Genomic DNA, 22657 nt, shown 5'->3' on the forward strand with positions numbered 1-22657 from the left:
AGGAAGCAAATAATCATTGGTAAAGGAAATTTCTTATCTCAATCTGAAATCTAAAATATATATGTATATATTTTAATATAATAAAATAAATTTAATAAAAATAAAATATTTTAAAAGTCTAATACAAAAAAATCAGTGATTCCCTCACTGCTTCTGATTACTTATGCAGTTGCTCTCAATACAATAGCAAAGATAAACAAGAGTTTATACAGTGATGGGTCTAAATCAGTTACTCAATAAATAGTTTTCAAGGGCCTGATCTCAGAGGAAATACTCCAAGGTATTTACAAGTATACCTCATTTCATTGCACCTTATTATATTGCACTTCAAAGATGTTGCTTTTTTTAAATTTTTTTACAAATTTAAGTTTTGTGTCAATTCTGCATTGAGCAAGGCTACTGGCACCATTTTTCTAGTAGCATGCATTTACTTCATGCCTCTGTGTCACATTTTGGTAATTCTTGCAATATTTCAAACATTTTCATTATTAGATCTGTTGTGATGATCTGTGATGACGGATCCTGCATGTCACTATTGTAATTGTTTTGGGGCACCACAAACTGCACTCATATAAGATAGTAAACTTAATGGATGGATGTTGTGTGTACTCTGACTGTTCCATCAACCAGCCATTCCCCCATCTTTCCCTTCTTCATAGGCCTTCCTATTCCCTGAGACACAACAATACTGAGATTAAGCCAGTTAATAATCCTACAATGGCCTCTAATTGTTCAAGTGGAAAAAAGAGTCACATGTCTCTTACTTTCAATCAAAAGGCAGAAATGATAAAGCTTAGTGAGGAAGGCATGTCAAAAGCCAAGATACCAGAAAGCTAGGCCTCTTGCATCAAATAGTTAGCCAAGCTGTGAATGCAGAGAAAAGATTTTTGTGGAAAATTAGAAGTGCTACAACAGTGAACACATGAATAATAACAATGACAGCCTTATTGCTTATATAGAGAAAGATTTAGAAGATAAAAGATCAAACCTGCCACAACATTCCCTTAAGCCAAAGCAGAATCCAGAGGAAGGCCCCAACCCTCTTCAACTCTATGAAGTCTGAGAGAGGTGAGAGAGCTGCAGAAGGAAAGCTAGAAGTAGTAGATGTTGGTTCGTGCAGTTTAAGGAGAGAAGCCATTTCCATAACATAAAAGTACAAGGCAAAGCTGTAAATGCTGATATAGAAGTTGCAGCAAGGTAAGATCTTCTTATGATCCAGCTAAGATAACTGATGAAGATGGCTACACTAAACAATAGATTTTCAAGGTAGACAAAACAGCCTTTTATTGCAAGTAGAGGCCATCTAGGACTTTCATAGCTAGGGAGGAGAAATCAAAGCCTGGCTTCAAAGTACAGGCTGACTCTCTTGTTAGGAGCTAACGCAACAGGTAATCTTAGGTTGAAGCCAATGCTTATTGACCATTCCAAAAATACTAGAGCCCTTAAGAATTGTACTAAATCTATTCTACCTATGCTCTATAAATAGAACAACAAAGCCTGGATGAAAGCACTCTGTTTATTGAATATTTTAAGCCAACTCTTGAGATCTACTGCCCTGAAATAAAGATTCCTATCAAAATATTGATGTTCTTTGACAAAATACTTGGTCACCTAAGAGCTGTGATGAGAAGGTACAGGATATTAATGTTGTTTTCATGTATGCTAACATAACATCCATTCTGCAGTCCAATGATCAAGGAGTCATTTTGACTTTCAAGTCTTATTATTTCAGAAATCCGTTTCATAAGGCTATAGCTGCAATAGATAGTGATTCCTCTGATGAATCTAGGCAAAGTCTATTGAAAACCTCCCAGAAAGGATTCACTATTCTAGATGTCATTAAAAACATGTATGCATTTTAGCTCCAGATCAACTCCAAGAACAAACTAGGAATCCTGAGAGGATTCACAGACCCTCTGAAGGAAGCAGACTGCTCCTGCAGGACCTAGGAGACACCCCAAATGCTCCAGCTGCAGCAAGATCTGCCCAAGGAGAGTCTGAGCTCTGGCACACCTAGCTCTGCCCCCACCTGATGGTTCTTTCCTACCCACCCTGGTAGCGGAAGACAAAGGACGTATAATCTTGGGAGTTCTAAGGCCTCACACACCGCTAGTCCCTCTCCATGCTACCATAGCTGATGGTCTTTGGAAAACACCACCTCCCGGAAGGAGGCCAACCAGCACAAAAACAGAGCATTAAACCACCAAAGAACCCTTATGGAGTCCATTGCAACCCCCGCCCCACCACCTCCACCAGAACAGGCACTGGCACCCACGGTTGAGAGACCCATAGATGGTTCACATCACAGGACTCTGTGCAGAAAACCCTCAGTACCATCCTGGAGCTGGGTAGACTTGCTGGGTGGCTAGATCCAGAAGAGACACAACAATCACTGAGGTTCAGTTCACAGGAGGCCACATCCATAGGAAAAGGGTAAGAGTACTACATCAAGGGAACACCCCATGGGACAAAAGAATCTCAACAACAGCCTTTAGCCCTAGATATTCCCTCTGACAGAGCCTACCCAAATAAGAAGGAACCAGAAAACCAGCCCTGGTAATATGACAAAACAAGGCTCTGTAACACCCCCCAAAAATCACACTTGTTCACCAGCAATGGAGCCAAACCAAGAAGAAATCCCTGATTTACCTGAAAAAGAATTCAGGAGGTTAGTTACTTAGCTAATCAGGGAGGAACCAGAGAAAGGTGAAGCCCAGTGCAAGGAAATCCAAAACACAATACAAGAAGTGAAGGGAGAAATATTCAGGGAAATAGATAGTTTAAAGTAAAAACAATAAAAAATTCAGGTAACATTGGACACACTTATAGAAATGCAAAATGCTCTGGAAAGTCTCAGCAATAGAATTGAACAAGTAGAGCTCAAAGACGAGGTCTTTGAATTAACCCACTCGAACAAAGACAAAGAAAAAGGAACAAGAAAATATGAACAAAGCCTCCAAGAAGTCTGGGATTATGTTAAACAACCCAATACCAAGAATAATTGGTATTCCTGAGGAAGAAGAGAATTCTAAAAGCTTGGAAAACATATTTGGGGGAATAATTGAGGAACAATTCCTAGCCTTGCTAGAGACCTAGACATGAAAATACAAGAAGCACAAAGAACACCTGGGAAATTCATTGCAAAAAGATCATCACCTAGGCACATTGTCATCTGTTATCCAAAGTTAAGATGAAGGAAAGAATCTTAAGAGCTGTGAGGCAGAAGCACCAGGTAACCTATAAAGGAAAACCTATCAGATTAATAGCAGATTTCTCAGCAGAAACCCTACAAGCTAGAAGGGATTGGAGCCCTATCTTCAGCCTCCTCAAACTAAACAATTATCAGCCAAGAACTTTGTATCCAACAAAACTAAGCATCATATATGAAGGAAAGATACAATCTTTTTCAGACAAACAAATGCTAAGAGAATTCACCACTACCAAGCCACCACTACAGGAACTGCTAAAAGGAGCTCTAAATCTTGAAACAAATCCTGGAAACACATCAAAACAGCACCTACTTAAAGCATATATCAAACCCTCTAAAACAAAAATACAAGTTAAAAAGCAAAACCAAAAAACAAAAAAAAAACAAAAGTACACAGGAAACAAATAGCACAATGAATGCAACAGCACCTCACATTTCAATACTAACATTGAATGTAAATGGCCTAAATGCTCTGCTTAAAACATACAGAACCACAGAATGGATCAGAACTCACCAACCATCTGCTGTCTTCAGGAGATTCACCTAACACATAAGGACTCACAAAAGTTTAAAGTAAAGGGGTGGAAAAAGGCATTTCATGCAAATGGACACCAAAAGTGAGCAAGGTAGCTATTCTTATATCAGACAAAAAAAACTTTAAAGCAACAGCAGTTAAAAGAAACAAAGAGGGACATTATAAAATGGTAAAAGGCCTTGTCCAACAGGAAAATATCACAATCCTAAATATATATGCACCTAAAACTGGAGCTTCCAAATTTATAAAACACTAATAGACCTAAGAAATGAGAATGGCCAGGCGCGGTGGCTCATGCCTGTAATCCCAGCACTTTGGGAGGCCAAGTGGGCAGATCATGAGGTCAGGAGATCGAGACTATCCTGGCTAACATGGTGAAACCCCATCTCTACTAAAAATACAAAAAATTAGCCGGGCATGGTAGCGGGCGCCTATAGTCTCAGCTACTCGGGAGGCTGAGGCAGAAGAATGGCGTGAACCTGGGAGGCGAAGCTTGCAGTGAGCCAAGATCGTGCCACTGCACTCCAGCCTGGGCGACAGAGCGAGACTCCATCTCAAAAAAAAAAAAAAAAAGAAATGAGACAGACAGTAGCGGGGACTTCAGTACTCCACTGACACAATTAGACAGGTTATCAAGACAGAAAGTCAACAGAGAAACAATGGATTTAACTAAATACCTTGAAACAAATGGACTTAACAGATATATACAGAACATTTCATCCAACAACCGCAAAACATACATTCTATTCAACAGTGCATGGAACTTTCTCCAAGATAGACCATATGATAGGCCATAAAATGAGCCTCAATAAATGTTTAAAAATTGAAATTATATCAAGCACTCTCTTAGACCACAGTGGACTAAAAGTGGAAATCAACTGCAAAAGGAACCTTCAAAACCATGCAAATACATGGAAATTAAATAACCTGCTCCTGAATGAGCAATGGGTCAGAAACACAATCAAGATGGAAATTTAAAAATTCTTTGAATTGAATGACAATAATGACACAACCTATCAAAAGGTCTGGGATACAGCAAAAGCATTGCTAAGAGGAATGTTCATAGCCCTAAACAACTACATCGAAAAGACTGAAAGAGCACAAACTGACATTCTAAGGTCACACCTCAAGGAACTATAGAAACAAGAACAAACCAAACTCAAACCCAGCAGAAGAAAGGAAATAACCAAGATCAAAGCAGAATTAAATGAAATTGAAACAAAAAATATACAAAAGATACATGAAACAAAAAGCTAATTCTTTGAAAATATAAATAAAATTGATAGACCATTATCAAGATTAATCAAGAAAAGAGAGAAAATCCAAATAACCTCACTAAGAAACAAAACAGGAGATATTACAACTGACACTATGGAAATACAAAACATCATTCAGGTAACTATGAACACCTTTAAGAATATAAACTAGAAAACCTAGAAGAGATGGATAAATTCCTAGAAAAATACAACCTCCTAGCTTAAATCAGGAAGAATTAGTTACCCTGAACAGACCTATAACAAGCAGTGAGACTGAAATGGTAACTTAAAAATTACCAACAAAAAAAGGTCCAGGACCAGAGGGATTCACAGCAGAATTCTACCACACATTCAAAGAATTGGTACCAATCCTTCTGACACTATTCCATAAGATAGAGAAAGAGGGAACCCTCCCTAATTCATTCTATGACGCCAGCATCGCCCTAATACCAAAACCAGGATAGGACATAATCAAAAAAGAAAACTATAGACTGAAATCCTTGATGAATATAGATGGTAAAATCCTTAACAAAATACTAGCTAACAAAATCCAACAATATATCAAAAAGACAGTCCACGATAATCAAGTGGATTTCATACCAGGGATACAGGGATGGTTTAAAATACACAAGTCAATAAATGTGATATACCACATAAACAGAATTAAAAACTAAAATCAAATGATCATCACAATATATGCAGAAAAAGCATTCAACAAAATCCAGCATCCCTTTATGATTAAAACTCTCAGCAAAATTGGCATACAAGGGACATACCTCAATGTAATAAAAGCCATCTATGATAAACCCATAGAAAACATAATACTGAGTGGGGAAAAGTTGAAAGCATTCTCTCTGAGAACTGGAACAAGACAAGGATGCCCACTCTCACCACTACTCTTCAACATAGTACTGGAAGTCCTAGCCAGAGCAGTCAGGCAAGAGAAGGAAATAAAGGGCATCCAAATCAGTAAAGAAGAAGTCAAACTGTCACCGTTTGCTGTCAATATGATCATTTACCTTGAAAACCCTAAAGACTCCTCCAGAAAGCTCCTAGAACTGATAAAAGCATTCAGCAAATTTTCTAGATACAAGATTAATGTACACAAATCAGCAGCTCTTCTATACACCAACAGCAACCAAGTGGAGAATCCAATCAAGAACTCAATTCTTTTCACAATAGCTGCAAAAAGTACAAATACTGGCTGGGCGTGGTGGCTCACACCTGTAATCCCAGCAGTTTGGGAGGCCAAGGTGGGCAGATCACGAGGTCAAGAGATCGAGACCATCCTGGCCAACATGGTGAAACCCTGTCTCTACTAAAAATACAAAAATCAGCTGGGTGTGGTAGCACACACCTGTAGTCCCAGCTATTAGGGAGGCTGAGGCAAGAGAATCACTTGAACCCGGGAGGCGGAGGTTGCAGTGAGCCAAAATTGCGCCACTGCACACCAGCCTGGCAACAGAGTGAGACTCCATCTCAAAAAAATAAATAAAATAAAATAAAATAAAATAAAATAAAATAAAATAAAATAAAATAAAATACTTAGGAATATACCTAACCAAGAAGTTGAAAGACCTCTACAAGGAAAACTACAAAACACTGCTGGAAGAAATCATAGATGACACAAACAAATGGAAACACATCCCATGCTCAGGGATGAGTAGAATCAATATTGTGAAAATGACCATACTTCCAAAAACAGTCTACAAATTCAATGCAATCCCCATCAAAATACCACCATCATTCTCACAGAATTAGAAAAAACAATTCTAAAATTCATATGCAACCAAAAAGGAGTCTGCATAGCCAAATCAAGACTAAGCAAAAAGAACAAATCTGGAGGCATCATACTACCTGATTTCAAACTATACTATAAGGCCATAGTCACCAAAACAGCATGGTACTGGTATAAAAATAGGCACATAGACCAATGGAACAGAATAGAGAACCCAGAAGTAAACCCAAATACTTACCAACCAATCTTCAACAAAGCAAACAAAAACATAAAGTGGGGAAAGGACACCCTTTTCAACAAATGGTGCTGGGATAATTGGCTAGCCACAAGTAGGAAAAGAAACTGGACCCTCATCTGTCACCCCATACAAAAATCAGCTCAAGATGGATTAAGGACTTAAACCTAAGACCTGGAACTATAAAAATTCTAGAAGATCCTAGATCTTCTAGAATTCTAGAAAAATCCTTCTAGAGATTGGCTTAGGCAAGGATTTAATGACCAAGAAACTAAAAGCAAATGCAATAAAAACAAAGATAAATAGCAGGGACCTAATTAAACTATAGAGCTTTTGCATGGCAAAAGGAACAGTCAGCAGAGTAAACAGACAACCCACAGAGTGGGAGAAAATCTTCACAATCTATAAATGTGACAAAGGACTAATATCTAGAATCTACAACAAACTCAAAAAAATCAGTAAGTAAAAAACAAACAATCCTATCAAAAAGTGGGCCAAAGATATGAATAGACAATTCTCAAAAGAAGATACTCAAATGACCAACGAACATACGAAAAAATGTTCAGCATCACTAATGAGCAGGGAAATGCAAATCAAAACCAAAATGCGATACCACCTTACTCCTGCAAGAATGACCATAATCAAAAAATCAGAAAACAGTAGATATTGGCATGGATGCAGTGATCAGGGAACACTTCTTCACTGCTGGTGGGAATGTAACTAGTACAATCACTATGGAAAATAGTGTGGAGATTCCTTAAAGAACTAAAAGTTCTTTAAGCCAGCAATCCCACTACTGGGTATCTACCCAGAGGAAAAGATATCATAATACAAAAAAGATACTTGCCCATGCATGTTTGTAGCCACACAATTCACAATTGCATAATTGTGGAACCAACCCAAATGCCCATCAATCAAGGAGTGCATAAAGAAACTGATATATATATATATATATATATATATATATATATATATATATATATATATGATGAAATACTACTCAGCCATAAAAAAGGAATGAATTAACAGCATTTGCAGTGACCTGGATGAGACTGGAGACTATTATTCTAAGTGAAGTAACTCAGGAATGGAAAACCAAACATTGTATCTTCTCACTGATATGTGGGAGCTAAGCTATAAGGATGCAAAGGCATGATAATGATAAAATGGACTTTGGGGACTTGGGGGGAAGAGTGGGAAAGGGGTGAGGAATAGAAGACTACAAATATGGTGCAGTGTATACTGCTCAGGTAATGGGTGCACCAAAATCTCACAAATCACCACTAAAGAATTGTACCCCAATAACTTATGGAAAGAAATTTAAAAAATTTAAAAAATTATGATGAATGGTCAAAATATCAACAGTAACAGGAGTTTGGAAGAAGTTGGTTCCAACTCTCATGGATGACTTTGAGGGTTTAAAACTTCAGTAGAAGAAGTAATTGCAAATGTAGTAGAAATAGCAAGAGAACTAAAATTAGAAGTAGACTGAAGATGTGACTGAATTGCTGCAGTCTCATCCAAAAGCTTGAATGGATGAGCAGTTGCTTCTTAGGGATGAGCAACAAAAGTGGTTTCTTGTGATGGAATCTACTCCTGGTAAAGATGCTATGAACATTGTTGAAATGGCAACAAATAATTTAGAATAGTCTATAAATTTAGTTCATAAAGCAGCAGTAGGTTTCAGGGGACTGACTCCAGTTTTTGTAAGAAGTTCTACTGTGAGTAAGATGCTATCAAACAGCATCGCACGCTACAGAGAAACTTTTGTGAAAGACTGAATTGATTGAGCAAACTTCATTGTTATCTTATTTTACAAAATTGCTACAACCACCCCAATCTTTAGCAACCACCAGCCTGATCAATCTGCAGCCACCTACATGGAGGCAAGACCCTCCACCAGCAAAATGATTATGTCTTGTTAAAAGTCTCAGATGATCTTTAGCACTTTTTAGCAACAAGGCATTTTTAATTATAGTATATATATTTTTAGACATAATATTATTGTGCACTTAATAGACTTAGTATAGTGTAAACATAACCTTTATGTGCATTGGAAAACCAAAAAATTCAGGTGACATGTTTAATTGTGATATTTGCTTTATTGCTGTTGGCCGGGACGGAACCTGCAATATCTGTGAGATACACCTATATCTATCAAAGTTGCAATGAAGGTGCTTACAATCTGGTTGGAAAACATAGTTAATACTTCACAAATCCCAACAATGTATATAATTATATGCCAAATTATATAGTATAGACTAGTATCATAGAAGTTTTGACTAAAACCTGTGAGCAAATTTTTATATGATTAAAAATGCTATGCAACATAATAAAAGAAGGTATGTACTTAAAATCACTTTGGCAATTGTGAAGATGAGTTTTAAGTACTTTATGTTAATAATTAACTTGAAAGTAAACTACTAAAAGTTGTTCGTATAAGGACAACTAGAATGTTAGCTATGCTTTCTAGAATATTTGAGCAAAAAATAAAAAACATTGACAATTTGATTTAGATTTGCCTTTACTAACAAAATGGAAACATAAAAATAGATTCATAGTCATCCAATAGGAAAACATAATTAAGGACCCAGAAATCATAAAGTGACAATTTCTATTCAAAATGCAGTGCATAAGAACCCATACATCGGTTCAGCGCCTGGGTGTCAGGTGCTGTCTAAATAAAAACCTGAGCAAGGGAGGGGAAAATGTCAGTGTTAATCCAGTCAAATTAGGCCAGATTTTTAGTTGACATTATATTTGCACTTGAAAATTTAGGTTTGACTTACACACCCAAAAATTTACATTTGACCCACACTAATAGAATCCATAACATTATAGTATGTACTTGAAAAGAACACGTTTCCTGTGTTATATTTTTGTGTGATTTAATTTTCACAAATATATATCATTTCCCTTGTCTTGAAAGGAAACGATTATTTCTTTTTTATACAAGACAGACCTGAGACCTTTTTCCCCAATTCCAAATACTTGGTAATATCCAGTTGTTTGATTAACTGATTTGACTTTACAGACCACAGAATCAATCTATTTTTAAAGAACTGGGGACACCTACACAGCCTAATTTCATTAGTAGGTATATCAGGTATGAAATAGTCCAGTAGGAAACGTATTCCTTTTACAGTTTTCTTTCTGTTGTTTATATCAAGGATTAAGTTTCAGTATCGTGCAAGTATGTTTTCATCATTTCTCAAATATTAGGTAATGTTCCTTTACAGCAAAGACAACAGACCTCAGCATAAGCAGAAAACAATATCTACCTGGAATTTAATGTTGTCTTTCTTAGATTTGTATTTACTTTTACAATGGTTATCTACTTATGGCAAGTGATACTATACTGGTTCTCATTTACAGAAATAATAACAACTTTCCTCTAAAAATGAATTTAAATTGAGTTAGTCGATGTAAAGAAAAATATCAGGAAAATTATAGTACATATAGTTCTCAGACATAGGCAAATTTGTACCATGGTAATTCACTAGTGACTAAAGCTGGGAAAACAGAGCTAAAATAATTAACATGTTAAAATGTTTCTTCATTCAGTTATTCATATTAATTACTGGTAATATTTTCATTTGTATAATATATGAATTCCTAAGTTTTCTATTGGCAGGGAATTGCAATCTATTATTTAATTGAAATAATTTGTAGAAAATAAATTATTGATACAATTTAGTAATAAAAGATAGAACAAGGGGATTTTTAATACAAGTAATGTAAAATAGTTTCATTGTTATTTGTTCTAGAAGAGTTTGGAGGTACTGCTGTTATTACCATGACATGAACCTAGAAGTTCAGCTTTTAGGAGTACCATACAGGCAAGATCATATTACAATATAGGCACTTGGCACTCTAAAATAATGGTTCCAACCCTGTATTCTGCCATAATACATGGGAAATAATGTTCACATACTAGATATATTCCTGGGGAAATGCTCTGATTTTGGCAAAATTCTCCCCTTTCTGCTTTTTCCGGAACATTTAGGCAATACAGGGCTGTAAATGTTGGTTATGCATAAGTTCCAACATGTTCCTTTCTATCCAAGAAAGCGAGACCAAATGTTAAGTAAATGAAAATACACTAATATAATCAGCTTATTTTTTTTAAAAAAATAAATCATTCACAAATTTAAGTGCTTTACCTATTTTTCATAACAAATGCTTAAGGTATAACTCGCTACTGACAGGACCAACAACGTCTCATGACACCTTGGTCCAAACGTACTACTTTATTGTTGGACTACCAGATTAATGTCACTTCTCTATACTTTAGTTAAGACAGAGATACCAAGGTAATGACTGGATTACAGCATGGTTTGCAGATGTGGTGACCTAAGTGAATGGCACTGGCACCAGCTGTTTATAATTTGATAAAGCAACCAATCATCCAAATTGACTTGCAACACTTAAAAGGTATGAGTTTTATAGTTAATGGAAAAAACCTTCATATGAAGGTTGAGAAAAATAAAGTTCTCATTTTCTGACATGAAAGTAGAGTAACTCTCAGGTGGTAACCCAAATGTTCCCTGTGAATTAATGTGTTGTACAATATTAGCAAAACCTAACCACTCTTTTTATGTACAAAATCTAGCACTCACTGATAACAAAATGGCCAGGAGTGGTGGCTCACATCTGTAATCCCAGCAATTTGGGAGGCCGAGGTGGGCAGATCACTTGAGGTCAGGAGTTAGAGACCAGCCTGGCCAATATGGAGAAACCCCATCTCTACTAAAAATACAAAAATTAGCCAGGCATGGTAGTGGACGCCTGTAATCCCAGCTACTCGGTAGGCTGAGGCAGGAGAATTGCCTGAACCCAGGAGGAGGAGGCTTCAGTGAGCTGAGATCATACCACTGCACTCAAGCCTTGGCAACACAGGGAGACTCTGTCTCAAAAAAATAAAAAATGCTTTTGTGTATTCTGATACAAGTTTTAACAATATATGAATCAGCAGATTTTAAAGAATTAGATGATATAGCAAACTGTAGGGATAAGAAAGAAATGTATGTAAACTCTGCCATAATGTAAATAGTTTGTTTAAAGGTCCAGAGATCTGATCAGTGCCACCGACATAAAATCAAGTCTTGCACTGAACTAAGTCAACATACTGTTTAGGAAAAAGAATTTCTAATATGGATTACAACAGAACTGTCAATTGCTTACATATATATGTGTGTTCCATTCTTGCTGTTGGAACATCAATTAATAACAATCATCTTAATTTCATAATTATATTTTGAACTTACCTTTTCAAAATAACAGGAGCAGAGCATGGTCAACATGATAGTTTCAGGCATCTTAATAAAACCATCATTTTTGGCATCTATGCTGACATTGTAATGGCCTCAAACTGTCAATAACTCATCCAAAGCAAATTTAATAAATGTGGAGACATGGGCTAACATTACAGTCAGTTTGCCTATATTCACTATAAACATTAGCTCTACAAAAGAATGTGAATCAAGGAAGCTGAAGTGAAAATAGCATTAAACAATAATCCCAAATTAACCAATAGTAAAGTAGAACTCTATGCTCAAGAGTTGTATGCTCACACATATGATAAAAGCATAATCATCAAACTTTTTTCTGAATTGTCTAGGTTTAGCTAATAATTTAAATGTTACTGATGGACTTTGGTCCTCTTTCACAAAAATTAGAAACATTAACACATTCTTCCCAAACCTCTATTAGAAACTTTTATGTTTAAGGATCTATAATTTTTCAATTATTAGGGAAACAATGTGATATGTCATTTTAATCGTGGGCGGATCACCTGAGGTCAAGAGTTCAAGGCCAGCCTGGCCACCATGGTGAAACCCCATCTAAATTAAAAATACAAAAATTAGCCAGGAATGGTGGCAGGCACCTGTAATCCCAGCTACTCAGGAGGCTGAGGCAGGAGAATCACTTGAACCTGGGAGGTGAAGGTTGCAGTGAGCCGAGATCGTGCCACTGCACTCCAGCCTGGGTGACAAAGTGAGATTCTGTCTCAAAAAAAAAAAGAAAAGAAAAGAAACATAAATAAGTAAAAGATAATTATTTGTGTAAGGGTAGAGGAGATAGAAAAAAATATGACTTACTTTCTTCATTCTACATGTATCATGTAGGTGTAGAGTTTACAGAAATACCTATGTAAAACATGGTTACTATTTTTTGTTTGTAGGTATGTACTTGAAGCATCAATAGGTCAACTGGTTAACATTCCCGCCACGGCAGAAATGCAAATTTTGGAAAAAACAGCCCATAATATTTCAACCAACAGTGAACACAGAAGGCATTTTGTTACCATCAAATCGCCAAACTAATAATGGTGAACAAACAAGGCAGAATTCTCCGCTCTTTGTATTAAAATTACCACCCAAGCATCGTTCAGACATCTCAGGCCCAACTATAATTCTGCATTTGCCCATTGTGTGCTTAACATCAATGTGATCTAGTAAGTACTACCATGATCTTTGAGATTTCGAAGAATCACAGCAGGAAGGCTATGGGACTGCCACCCTGTCACTAACTCAGCCTCTATTTCCTTAATGTGGGCCCTGAGCATGTGGGGTGGCACTTTCAGAAGCAGGTCAAGAGGCAGCAAAGCTGAAGAAATAAAAGGGGGAAAGATATGAAACTGTAACATAAATTACATTGAATTTTAGAGAGTTGTGTTTGATTTTATTGCTACCAACACTAAGTTACCTGGTCTTGGTCTTGATCCTGTTCCTCCAGTGAAGTCCCTGAAAATAGAATTACAGGCCATTAGAATGACCTGTTCAACTTGGATTTGACAAACTAAGAGCCTACATCTTGCTATGGTCTACATTATAAAGATTAATAGAGATTATTTTCCCTCAAGATGCTCTCAAGAGTTTAATTAAGAGGGAAATAAATATATTGCAATAAACAGTACAATTGACATTCTACTGACAAATGACAGAATCGTCCCACCACAGTTTTTAGGCTCTAAGTATGACTAAGAGCCTAAATTTTAGGATCCTGAATAATTTTCTAGTTACACTTAAACTCAAAATATGATTTTGCACTAAAAGGATATAAGATTTAAAATGTTATATATAGTATTTTCTATGATTTGTCCCTGCTCTATTAAAAAAACAAAAAAAACCTTATACCTCCTCCTATAAAATGTTTTTTGCATTGAAAATAATTATCTTTCCTAAAGTTGCCAGTGTTATTAACATCCCTTGTTTGCCTTGCCCCAAAATTCTAGGTTATTTGATCATTTTACGAGTTGGTCTCAGTGTCTTCTACTCTGTGGAGGTGGCCTTAGACCCCACCAGGGATATCTGTAAATCACCTTCAGCCTTGTTTTTTCCACTGTACCCTAGAACCAATTTTTCTTTTTTTTTTTGAGACGAGTCTAGCTCTGTCACCCAGGCTGGAGTGCAGTGACGCGATCTCAGCTCACTGAAACCTCCACCTCCCAGGTTCACGCCATTCTCCTGCCTCAGCCTCCCGAGTAGCTGGGACTACAGGTGCCCGCCACCACGCCCAGCTAATTTTCTTGTATTTTTAGTAGAGACAGTGTTTCACCATGTTAGCCAGGATGGTCTCGATCTCCTGACGTCATGATCCACCTGCCTCAGCCTCCTAAAGTGCTGGGATTACAGGTGTGAGCCACCACGCCCGGCCTAGAACCAAGTTTTTAATAGTTTTCTGGAATGAAATAAGAAACATCTGTGCCCTGACAAGTTGTAAGAATCATTCTTAAACTTAATGAAATCCAACAAAAATATATCATACATGTACTAGGTATAAGGCACATGATAGGTTATTTGTTAAGTAGGAATAAATATAGGAATTCAAATACAAGTAAACATGGCTGATAATTCTCTTGTCCCAACCTTTTCGTTTTAATCATAGAATTTTTGATACATGCATGCAACACCTACCTAAGTTATTAAGCGTAACAAAATTGGCACTCATTTACCTACCACCCAACTTAAGCACTAGAATAATACCAAAATCTTTGCATCCACCTATGAGTTTCTTCCCTGTTCCTTTCCATTCCCTCTTGATCCTCACCAGGCTAACACTCTCTTGATCTCATAATATATTTTGTTCCATTCTGAGCTCAAGTTTCCAGAGCCTTGAAAAGTAAATGGAACCTGCCAGCCTTTAACAGTTTATATACTTTCCCTAACCTGAGATAAGGAGCATGTTTAAAAAAAGAAATGAAGCTGATCCTGCCCTCAGAAAGTTTGAAAAGAGGCATGATGACAGCAGTGCCCATGTGTAGGCAGGACAGCCCCAGGGCTGAGCTGAGGAGCAGAGCATCTGTTCCAGTTCCTTGTATGCCTGCACAAATGCCATACCCCAGCAAATGCTTTCCGAATAACTTTGCCCCTTACCCTTCTAGATGAAGCTAGTACTGTCTAATGGAAACCGATTGTAAGCATCAAACATAATTTTAAGTTTTCTGGTAGCCACATTTTCAAAAAGTAAAAAGAATAAAGTGAAATAATTCTATTTTATTTAATCAAAAATATCCAAAATATTATTTCAACATATACAAATTGAAATCTTATTATTTTACATCTTAATTAATATTAAACAAAATTAAAAATTCAGTCCCTCAGTTGCACTGGCCACATTTAAGCTGCTCAAGAGTCACATGTGCCCAGTGGCCTCCATACTTAACAATGTGGTCCAGGCCCTTCCTTAAGTGTTGGTCATTGTCTTCATACATTTATTACATTCATGCCATGTAGCTGCTAAACCTGCAATACCTCCTGAATCCCACTCTCTTAAAAAGTGAATAAAAATGCAACTTGTGGCAAACTTGTATCCATCAGGTTATACATGTTCTTGAAAAGCTGATAATCACTCACATGATGAGTTTGCAAGATGACTATTCCAGATGTCCTGAAGAATCTAACGTTTCAAACATTTTTACATATTAACAAATGTTATGCATAATGTGTGCTAGTGGGATATGTGACATAGAACACCCTGACAATGCTGAGTTGCTGCCGCTTTTGCTATTCCTTTATATAATTTTAAATTCCTCTTTAATAAACTTTAGGGAATCTTCAAAAAGAACAATTACACATTCATTCATTCATTCAAGAAATATTTATTAAATGCCCACGATGTGTAGCCACCATGCTAGACACTGGAGATGGGATGGTGAAAATAAATAGTTTCCACAGTCTTAGAATTTACAAGATTGCATAGAGATAGCAGAAAATAAAATGTCAATTTCTCTGGAAATTATATCACTAACCGCAAGAAAATATAGTCATCTGAAATTTCAAAATAGAACAGACTCATTGTCACCAGAAGTGACAGCTTTTAACTATGCAATTGTTGGGTTCACAGATGGACAAATGGTTGAAATTATGCAGAGCCTGGGGGAAGTCTGCCTCTAGATTGAACCACATTGAATGTTTATGCCCAATAGAGCATTACGGCTACAGAGGGTGGTGTTCCCATCGTATCACAAGCTGGAAAATATACCAAAGTGGTTTCACACAGAGAACATTCCAGAAATAGTTTCTGGTGAAGAGGCTTAACATATTACTGTTTGTGTTCTCTGAAAATTTTGAAATGGGCATTGACCAACAGCACTTCAGGCCAATGGAAGAATTTCAGAAAAATAGAAGGCTGAAAGAATTCTAAAAGGCCATCCCTTCCAGCTCTCTTCAGACCTAGTGTGACCTCATCTGGAATTAATAAGGCAAAAGAGAAACTGAAGTGCTGAAAATGAGTGTTAGCCTACAATTTCCACCCCAAAACACTAACAGATAAAGTGAATAATCTAGGAATTAGCATCGTAATTTTTTAAATAGACTTTTCGCTGAATTAAGTCAAGAGCACGGTGAATTATTTGGATAATAATTTTGCCAGCAGAGTCCTGGCCAAGAAGAAGATGAAGCCCTAGAATATCATCTCTCATAAGAATTCCTTGAAATATGTATCTGAACAAAGAAAACATTTTCAAATACATTATAAGTGTATTCCATCATTTAATTCAATTGTGAAAAGTATCAATGCTATTTGATATTGATAAAAATAATTAAACCTTATGAAATGAGAGGTTTGGCTTACAATAGTAAGGTAATGCCTTCCGAAACTACTGCAGCCACACCATGTGAGCTAATGAGCATTTTATAGCTGAAGCTCTCTTTCAGGCAGTGACATTCATAAATATGTCCTGTGTGAATAAGCAACATTATGTAGCTTTGAGCTCTCCTATTTATCTATAATGTTAATAGAGTTGGTATCATGACAACAAAGTAGTATAATGCTCCTGTGGCTATCCCCTCCTACTCCAATAACAGCTAGAAACAAATGAGCAATAAACCAGGAAAGTATAGAACTATTACAGAAAAGAAACAAAGTGGTCTTACTATGTGTTTTTTTGTTTGTTTGTTTGTTTGTTTGTTTTAAGGCTGTTGGAGTGAGACATTAGCAGATGGGCCAGGTTGATTCTAGCAAGGAGTAATCATGCAGTATTTATTCAACCAAAGTAAAACCAGATACAGATTATGAAAAAGATGGAGGGAGAAGAGCTATAAGTAAAAATAAGCAAGACTTCCGCTTTTAAGAGGCAAGATCCACAGGTCCTGAAAATACACGAGGTCTTTCCAGTCACAAATATGAAGCTGAATTGTCACAAACATCCACAATCATCTTCACATATAAAGACTTAGAAAGGCCTGGCACGGTGGCTTATGCCTGCAATCCTACCACTTTGGGAGGCCCAGGGGGGTGGATCACCTGAAGTCAAGAGTTCGAGACCAGCCTGGTCAACATGGTGAAACCCCATCTCTACTAAAAATACAAAAATTAGCTGGGTGTGGTGGCAGGAGCCTATAATCCCAGCTACTAGGGAGGCTGGGGCAGGAGAACCGCTGGAACCCAGCAGGCCGAGGTTGCAGTGAGCTGAGATGGCACCACTGCACTCCAGCCTGGGTGAAAGAGCAAAATTCTGTCTCAAAAAAAAAAAGATTTAGACTTAGGAGCACACTGCCAAATACAATTATGCATACACTGATGAATCAAAAAAGTTGTGAACCACAGGCATCTCTGATACCACAAACATCCAGTGTCTCAAACCAGCCTGCCAACTATACCCTGTTGCCTTGGTGACAGAAGGCAAGCAGACGTGGAGAAATCTGGTTGCCGGAGCAACAGGATCCTTTAAAAAAAAAAAAATGTGCCTTAAGCTGTGGCTATGGCAAAGGCTGTCAGTAGGCAAGATTTCAGTCCTTGGTAATGAGATAAAGAATTTACACTGAGATAACAGTCACAGTCATTCATCTATTAATTAACAAGTATCTGTAGGTTGGTACCTATGTGCAATACACTGTGCCCTGGAGAATGCAAAGATGAATTAGGCATAGTTTGGCGCAGGCCTGGCACACAGTAATAAATATCCATCAATTAAACAAATGAATGAAGGTTCTTAAGATGGTCGTAAAACAATGACTAAATTTTACTAGGACCTGAGAATATGTGACAAAGAGGCTGAAGCCCCAGTGAGCATTATCAAGTTCCACTATACAGAGTATTTTATTTATAAGTTGAAATAACATGCTATGACTTGCTGGATTAGAATCCTCAATGTGTATATACTAGGTCAGCCTATGAAACTCGCATAAAAACTGGTAAAAGTCAAGCCCATTCTTAATGCCTTCCTAGCAAATAGTAATAGATATAAAAGATTTCATATCAAGTTTGAAAATGATTAAAGTTGGAAATTTCAAAGAAATTGGGGCTTATTCCTCTCTTGATCTTGCCATTAACTATATTCCTTAAAAAAAGTTTTATCAACTGATGATGGCTTGGATTCCGAGGTGCCTTCCAGTTCTAATATTATTCTCCAGCCTTGAGACTTCAAAACTTTTCTGAGCAGGCAGGGGCTATCCCTCCTAGTTCCATTTGCTCATGTTGTATCCATTTGTCTGGCTCATTTGCCCAAAAGCATATCCTAAGTTATTAGGGAGTTACGTTAGTTTTTCCGCAAGCAATTGGTTTAAATCTGGCTCCTGATATCTGATATCTGACCAAAGTTATGAGTTTATGCTTAAGCTTTCTCTTGGTACTATTAATATTTAGCCAGGGCCACGTCTGACTTCTATATTTTGGAGGCTGTGGTCAGAACAGGTATGTACTTCCCTGTGACTTCTCTCATTGGGCCTTTTTAAAGAGTCAGTAAGGGTCCCCAAGTGGGAGAGCTGCCTAGGGTCTCCTTGAAATTGTTATACCATTTTATACATGGCACAGAATAGGAAAAAAAAAAAAGAAAAAGAAAACCCTCTACAGGCTTGATTTTCAATTTATTTTTATTCTATTATGTAGCTTTGCTATCTTCTTTTATATTCAAACTTCTTATTTAGCTTCTAAATATTTTGCAGGATGGGTTCACATTTCACATTAATAAACAAAGAAACCCAGGAAAATCCTAAACAAATTAGACTGCAAATAACTTTAGCTCTATTTAACGTTCTTTAAAGAATTATAAATACATTTTGGGATTGTCTCCTTTTAATTCAGAGAAGCCCCAGGGATTACCTGGGAGGGAGTCAAAAGTTATTAATTTTCTCTCCTCTTATTTGGCATAAATCAAAGGCTGTCTTTTATCATTTATTTTCTTCTGAAGTCGGCCCTTGTCTTCCCATTTTGCTGTGAGCTCCCTGAAGGAAGACAGCTTGTCTTAAACAAACCTGTGTTCCCTGGTGGCATGTCACGCTGTATTACCACATTTCATGGCACAATTTTACAAATGTTGCTTTAGGTCAGGTCCTGTTCACCTTGGAACATACTTTCCAAAACATCAACTTCAATGTATGGGCCACTTTCCATATCCATCTGTTGACTTGGTCATAACCCCAAGTTAAAGCTTGTTCTATACCCCTGTTTCAATGATCTTCAGATTAAACCTTGCCTTTCTGCTGATTCTAGCTTATCCAATTTGTTATAAAGTATTTAGTTAATGACTAGCTTTTTAAAAGCCATCTCAAGCTCTAAAAGATATAGACCATATGGGGTTTTTGTTTGGTTTTGAAGGGGTGGACATCAACCGGATTTGTGCAAATAAGACAATTTTCCATGGATCCTTTAAAAAAATAGTAGAATTATTTTTGACAGGGCCAAGATACCTACATTCATCTGATTGGAAATTGTCATTTTAACATAAAACTCACTTAATTGGGAGTACATCATATATCATAATTTACTTTTGAACTAAAATACTTGCTTTGTTAGCAATAGAAAGTCAGTAAGTGAGGAATGAGGAATGTTGGGTACTAGCAAGCCCTAAAGATCCTTTGGAATATCTTCTAACTCAGATCTCCAGTCCCCACAAACACCCACTGTGGTTCTCTTTGGCATTTTGGAGTACTTTTCTTTCCCCTGCCCTCCCCATTACTTCTGACCATGACTCCTCTGCACTTTGGCCCACTAAAGAACGTCATGAGGTCTTACAGGGTTTTATCGAATATCTTTCTGATAGATCATACACCCTGTTGATAAGTTTTCCTTGGGTTTTTATTCCCAGAAACACTGGAAAAAAAGTTAGGAAATTAAAAGGCTCCACCCTAACTCCTCCTGATCTTCATTTGAAGATAAATGTATCAGTGATGCATCTTTGACTAAACAAGAAAAGGATTTGTCTATAGAAACCTTCGTTTGTCACCTAACTGAATCCCCCAGGAATTTGCTGAGCAGGTTCTTCTGAACTTCATTTATGTTATGTGATTCCCAGCACCCTCAAACCCAGAGGTAGATCCAGGTGGTTCCATTGAGGCTGCCCAGCACTAACACCTGCTCCCTTCAGCAAGCACCCCTGATGGACTAGTCAAGGATCTCAGCTCTCCTCAAGGCAGTAAACAGGAACCTGATCCCAGCCAGGCCAATCTGGCTCTCTCTCTCTCAGGATTTTGAATCCTAAGAAAGGTGACATGAGAATGGAATAAACAAGCTGGGAGTTCATTTATCCCAGAGTTCCTGTGCCCTTATAAGCCTCCCAAAAATGTCTCCTTTATAGACTTCAGGGACTGAACTGGCTCCTATGCCTTCCCAAGCTTGATCCTCCAGAGTCTAAATTACACAAGCCCCACAATGACGTCTAAAGAACCCCCTGTCACATAAGTTAGCTAAAGTCAGGCTCCTTTGCTTGTATCCAAAAAGCCCTGCCTGCTATAGCACATCGCAGCCTTAGCCTTTTGTTACACAGATGCTGCCACCTCCTGAGTGGGGGTCATCCCACAGCTCTGAAGAGCCCTGCCTGGCATCACCACTTATATGTGGCCCAACCTCAACAGGTGCCCCAGCCTCAGAGCAGTCTGGCAGTCCTTCCACCATTCTCTGCCCAGTTCTCATCTCAACATTGGCTGCTCCTAGCTGAATATACTCCACAAATCTAGACAGTCCTCTCAGCTGTCTAGAATATTGGCCTAGAATATCAACTAATACATAGAAACTGGCTGGGCACAGTGGCGAATGCCTGTAATCCCAGCACTTTGGGAGGCTAAGGTGGGTGGATCTCCAGAGGTCAGGAGTTCGATACCAGCCTGGCCAACATGGTGAAACCCAACCTCTCCTAAAAATACAAAAATTAGCCAGGTATGGTGGCAGGTGCCTGTAATCTCAGCTACTCGGGAGGCGGAGGCAGGAGAATCACTTGAACCTGGAAGGCAGAGGTTGCAGTGATCACGCCACTGCACTCCAGCCTGGGTGACAGAGCAAGATTCTATCTCAACAATAATAATAATAATATACAGAAACCATAAAGTATATTTCTTCCTTAATCTGCCTTTCCCTATTTCACTAGCTTAATTTTATCTTCACCTCCCTTTCTCCAGACACAAAGAAGGCGTTGCCACTCATCTTTTCCAGGCCCACTCCTCTGGCTCTGGTCTATGATGCAACTGTATACTGTCAGTTATCTCTTTTCCTCTCTCATTTCTCCTCTCCATTGGTCTCTTCTCCTTCCTCTGTCCCAAATGCCCTGAGTTCATCCTGATTCTAGGAGGTCCTTTTCCATCAAACATTCCCCACCAGCTCATTCTCCCAGCTCATTTCTCAACTTCTTAAATGCCTCCTATCTCTGCCTCTGGAACATTGTAATCAAGGTTCTGCTCCCTCTAATCTCACCCAGTGCCAGTGAAGGTCAGGAGAACTTGCAGAAGGCTCAATCTAATAGTTTTGTTTCAGTCCCTACTCTAAGAAACAACTGTCACTGACACAGCTAGCTGTCCCAAAATAACAATTTTGCTTTGCCTTTAAAAGACAGTCTCTCAAACATATTTCACCATCCCTTGCAACTAGCTGTGGTCATATGAGGAAGTTCTGGCCAATGGTATGTGAACAGAAGTGATGAGCATAACATCTCGGTCATATCCTTAAAAGGAAGAGGGGTGTCTCTACTTCCCCTTTCTTCTTCTTGCTGGCTTGGAGGTAGGATGCGGTCTCATAAGTCATATTGGTCAAAAAGATGAAACCTATACCCTGGGGATATGGAAGAACAAGATATAAGACCAGGGCTCCAGATGACCTCATGGAGCACAGCTGCCCTACCCCGCCGGCCCACCCTTGAGCTCAGAGAGGCTAACTGATTTGCTCAAGGTCACAAAGCTAGAAAAAGGCAGAGCTAGACTAAGACCCAGGTCCAAGATCAGTACCTGTTTCAGTATGCTACTTGGTGAACTAT

General features: G+C 37.9%; 1 protein-coding gene across 26 annotated transcripts in view; it reads right to left on the reverse strand.

Annotated features, from left to right (window-relative positions):
- NEK10 (NIMA related kinase 10) overlaps positions 1–22657 on the reverse strand; it is a 262900-nt gene that overhangs the window by 42537 nt on the left and 197706 nt on the right. For 14 of the 26 annotated variants that reach the window (XR_001740034.2, NM_001394964.1, NM_001394963.1 and 11 more), the window contains 2 exons: positions 13681–13718; positions 13441–13581 (listed from right to left, as the gene is read on the reverse strand). Coding sequence is in view for 25 of the 26 variants with exons in the window: in NM_001394964.1 (NP_001381893.1) it covers positions 13441–13581; positions 13681–13718 (179 nt within the window). In the remaining variant the exon portion in view is untranslated. Of the gene's footprint in view, positions 1–13440; positions 13582–13680; positions 13719–17426; positions 22456–22657 lie in introns of those variants that run through there. The other 12 variants (NM_001394969.1, XM_047447506.1, NM_001394967.1 and 9 more) reach the window with 2 other exon arrangements.

Source organism: Homo sapiens, chromosome 3 (genome assembly GCF_000001405.40).
Source record: "Homo sapiens chromosome 3, GRCh38.p14 Primary Assembly".
In the NCBI taxonomy this organism is placed as follows: Eukaryota; Metazoa; Chordata; class Mammalia; order Primates; family Hominidae; genus Homo; species Homo sapiens.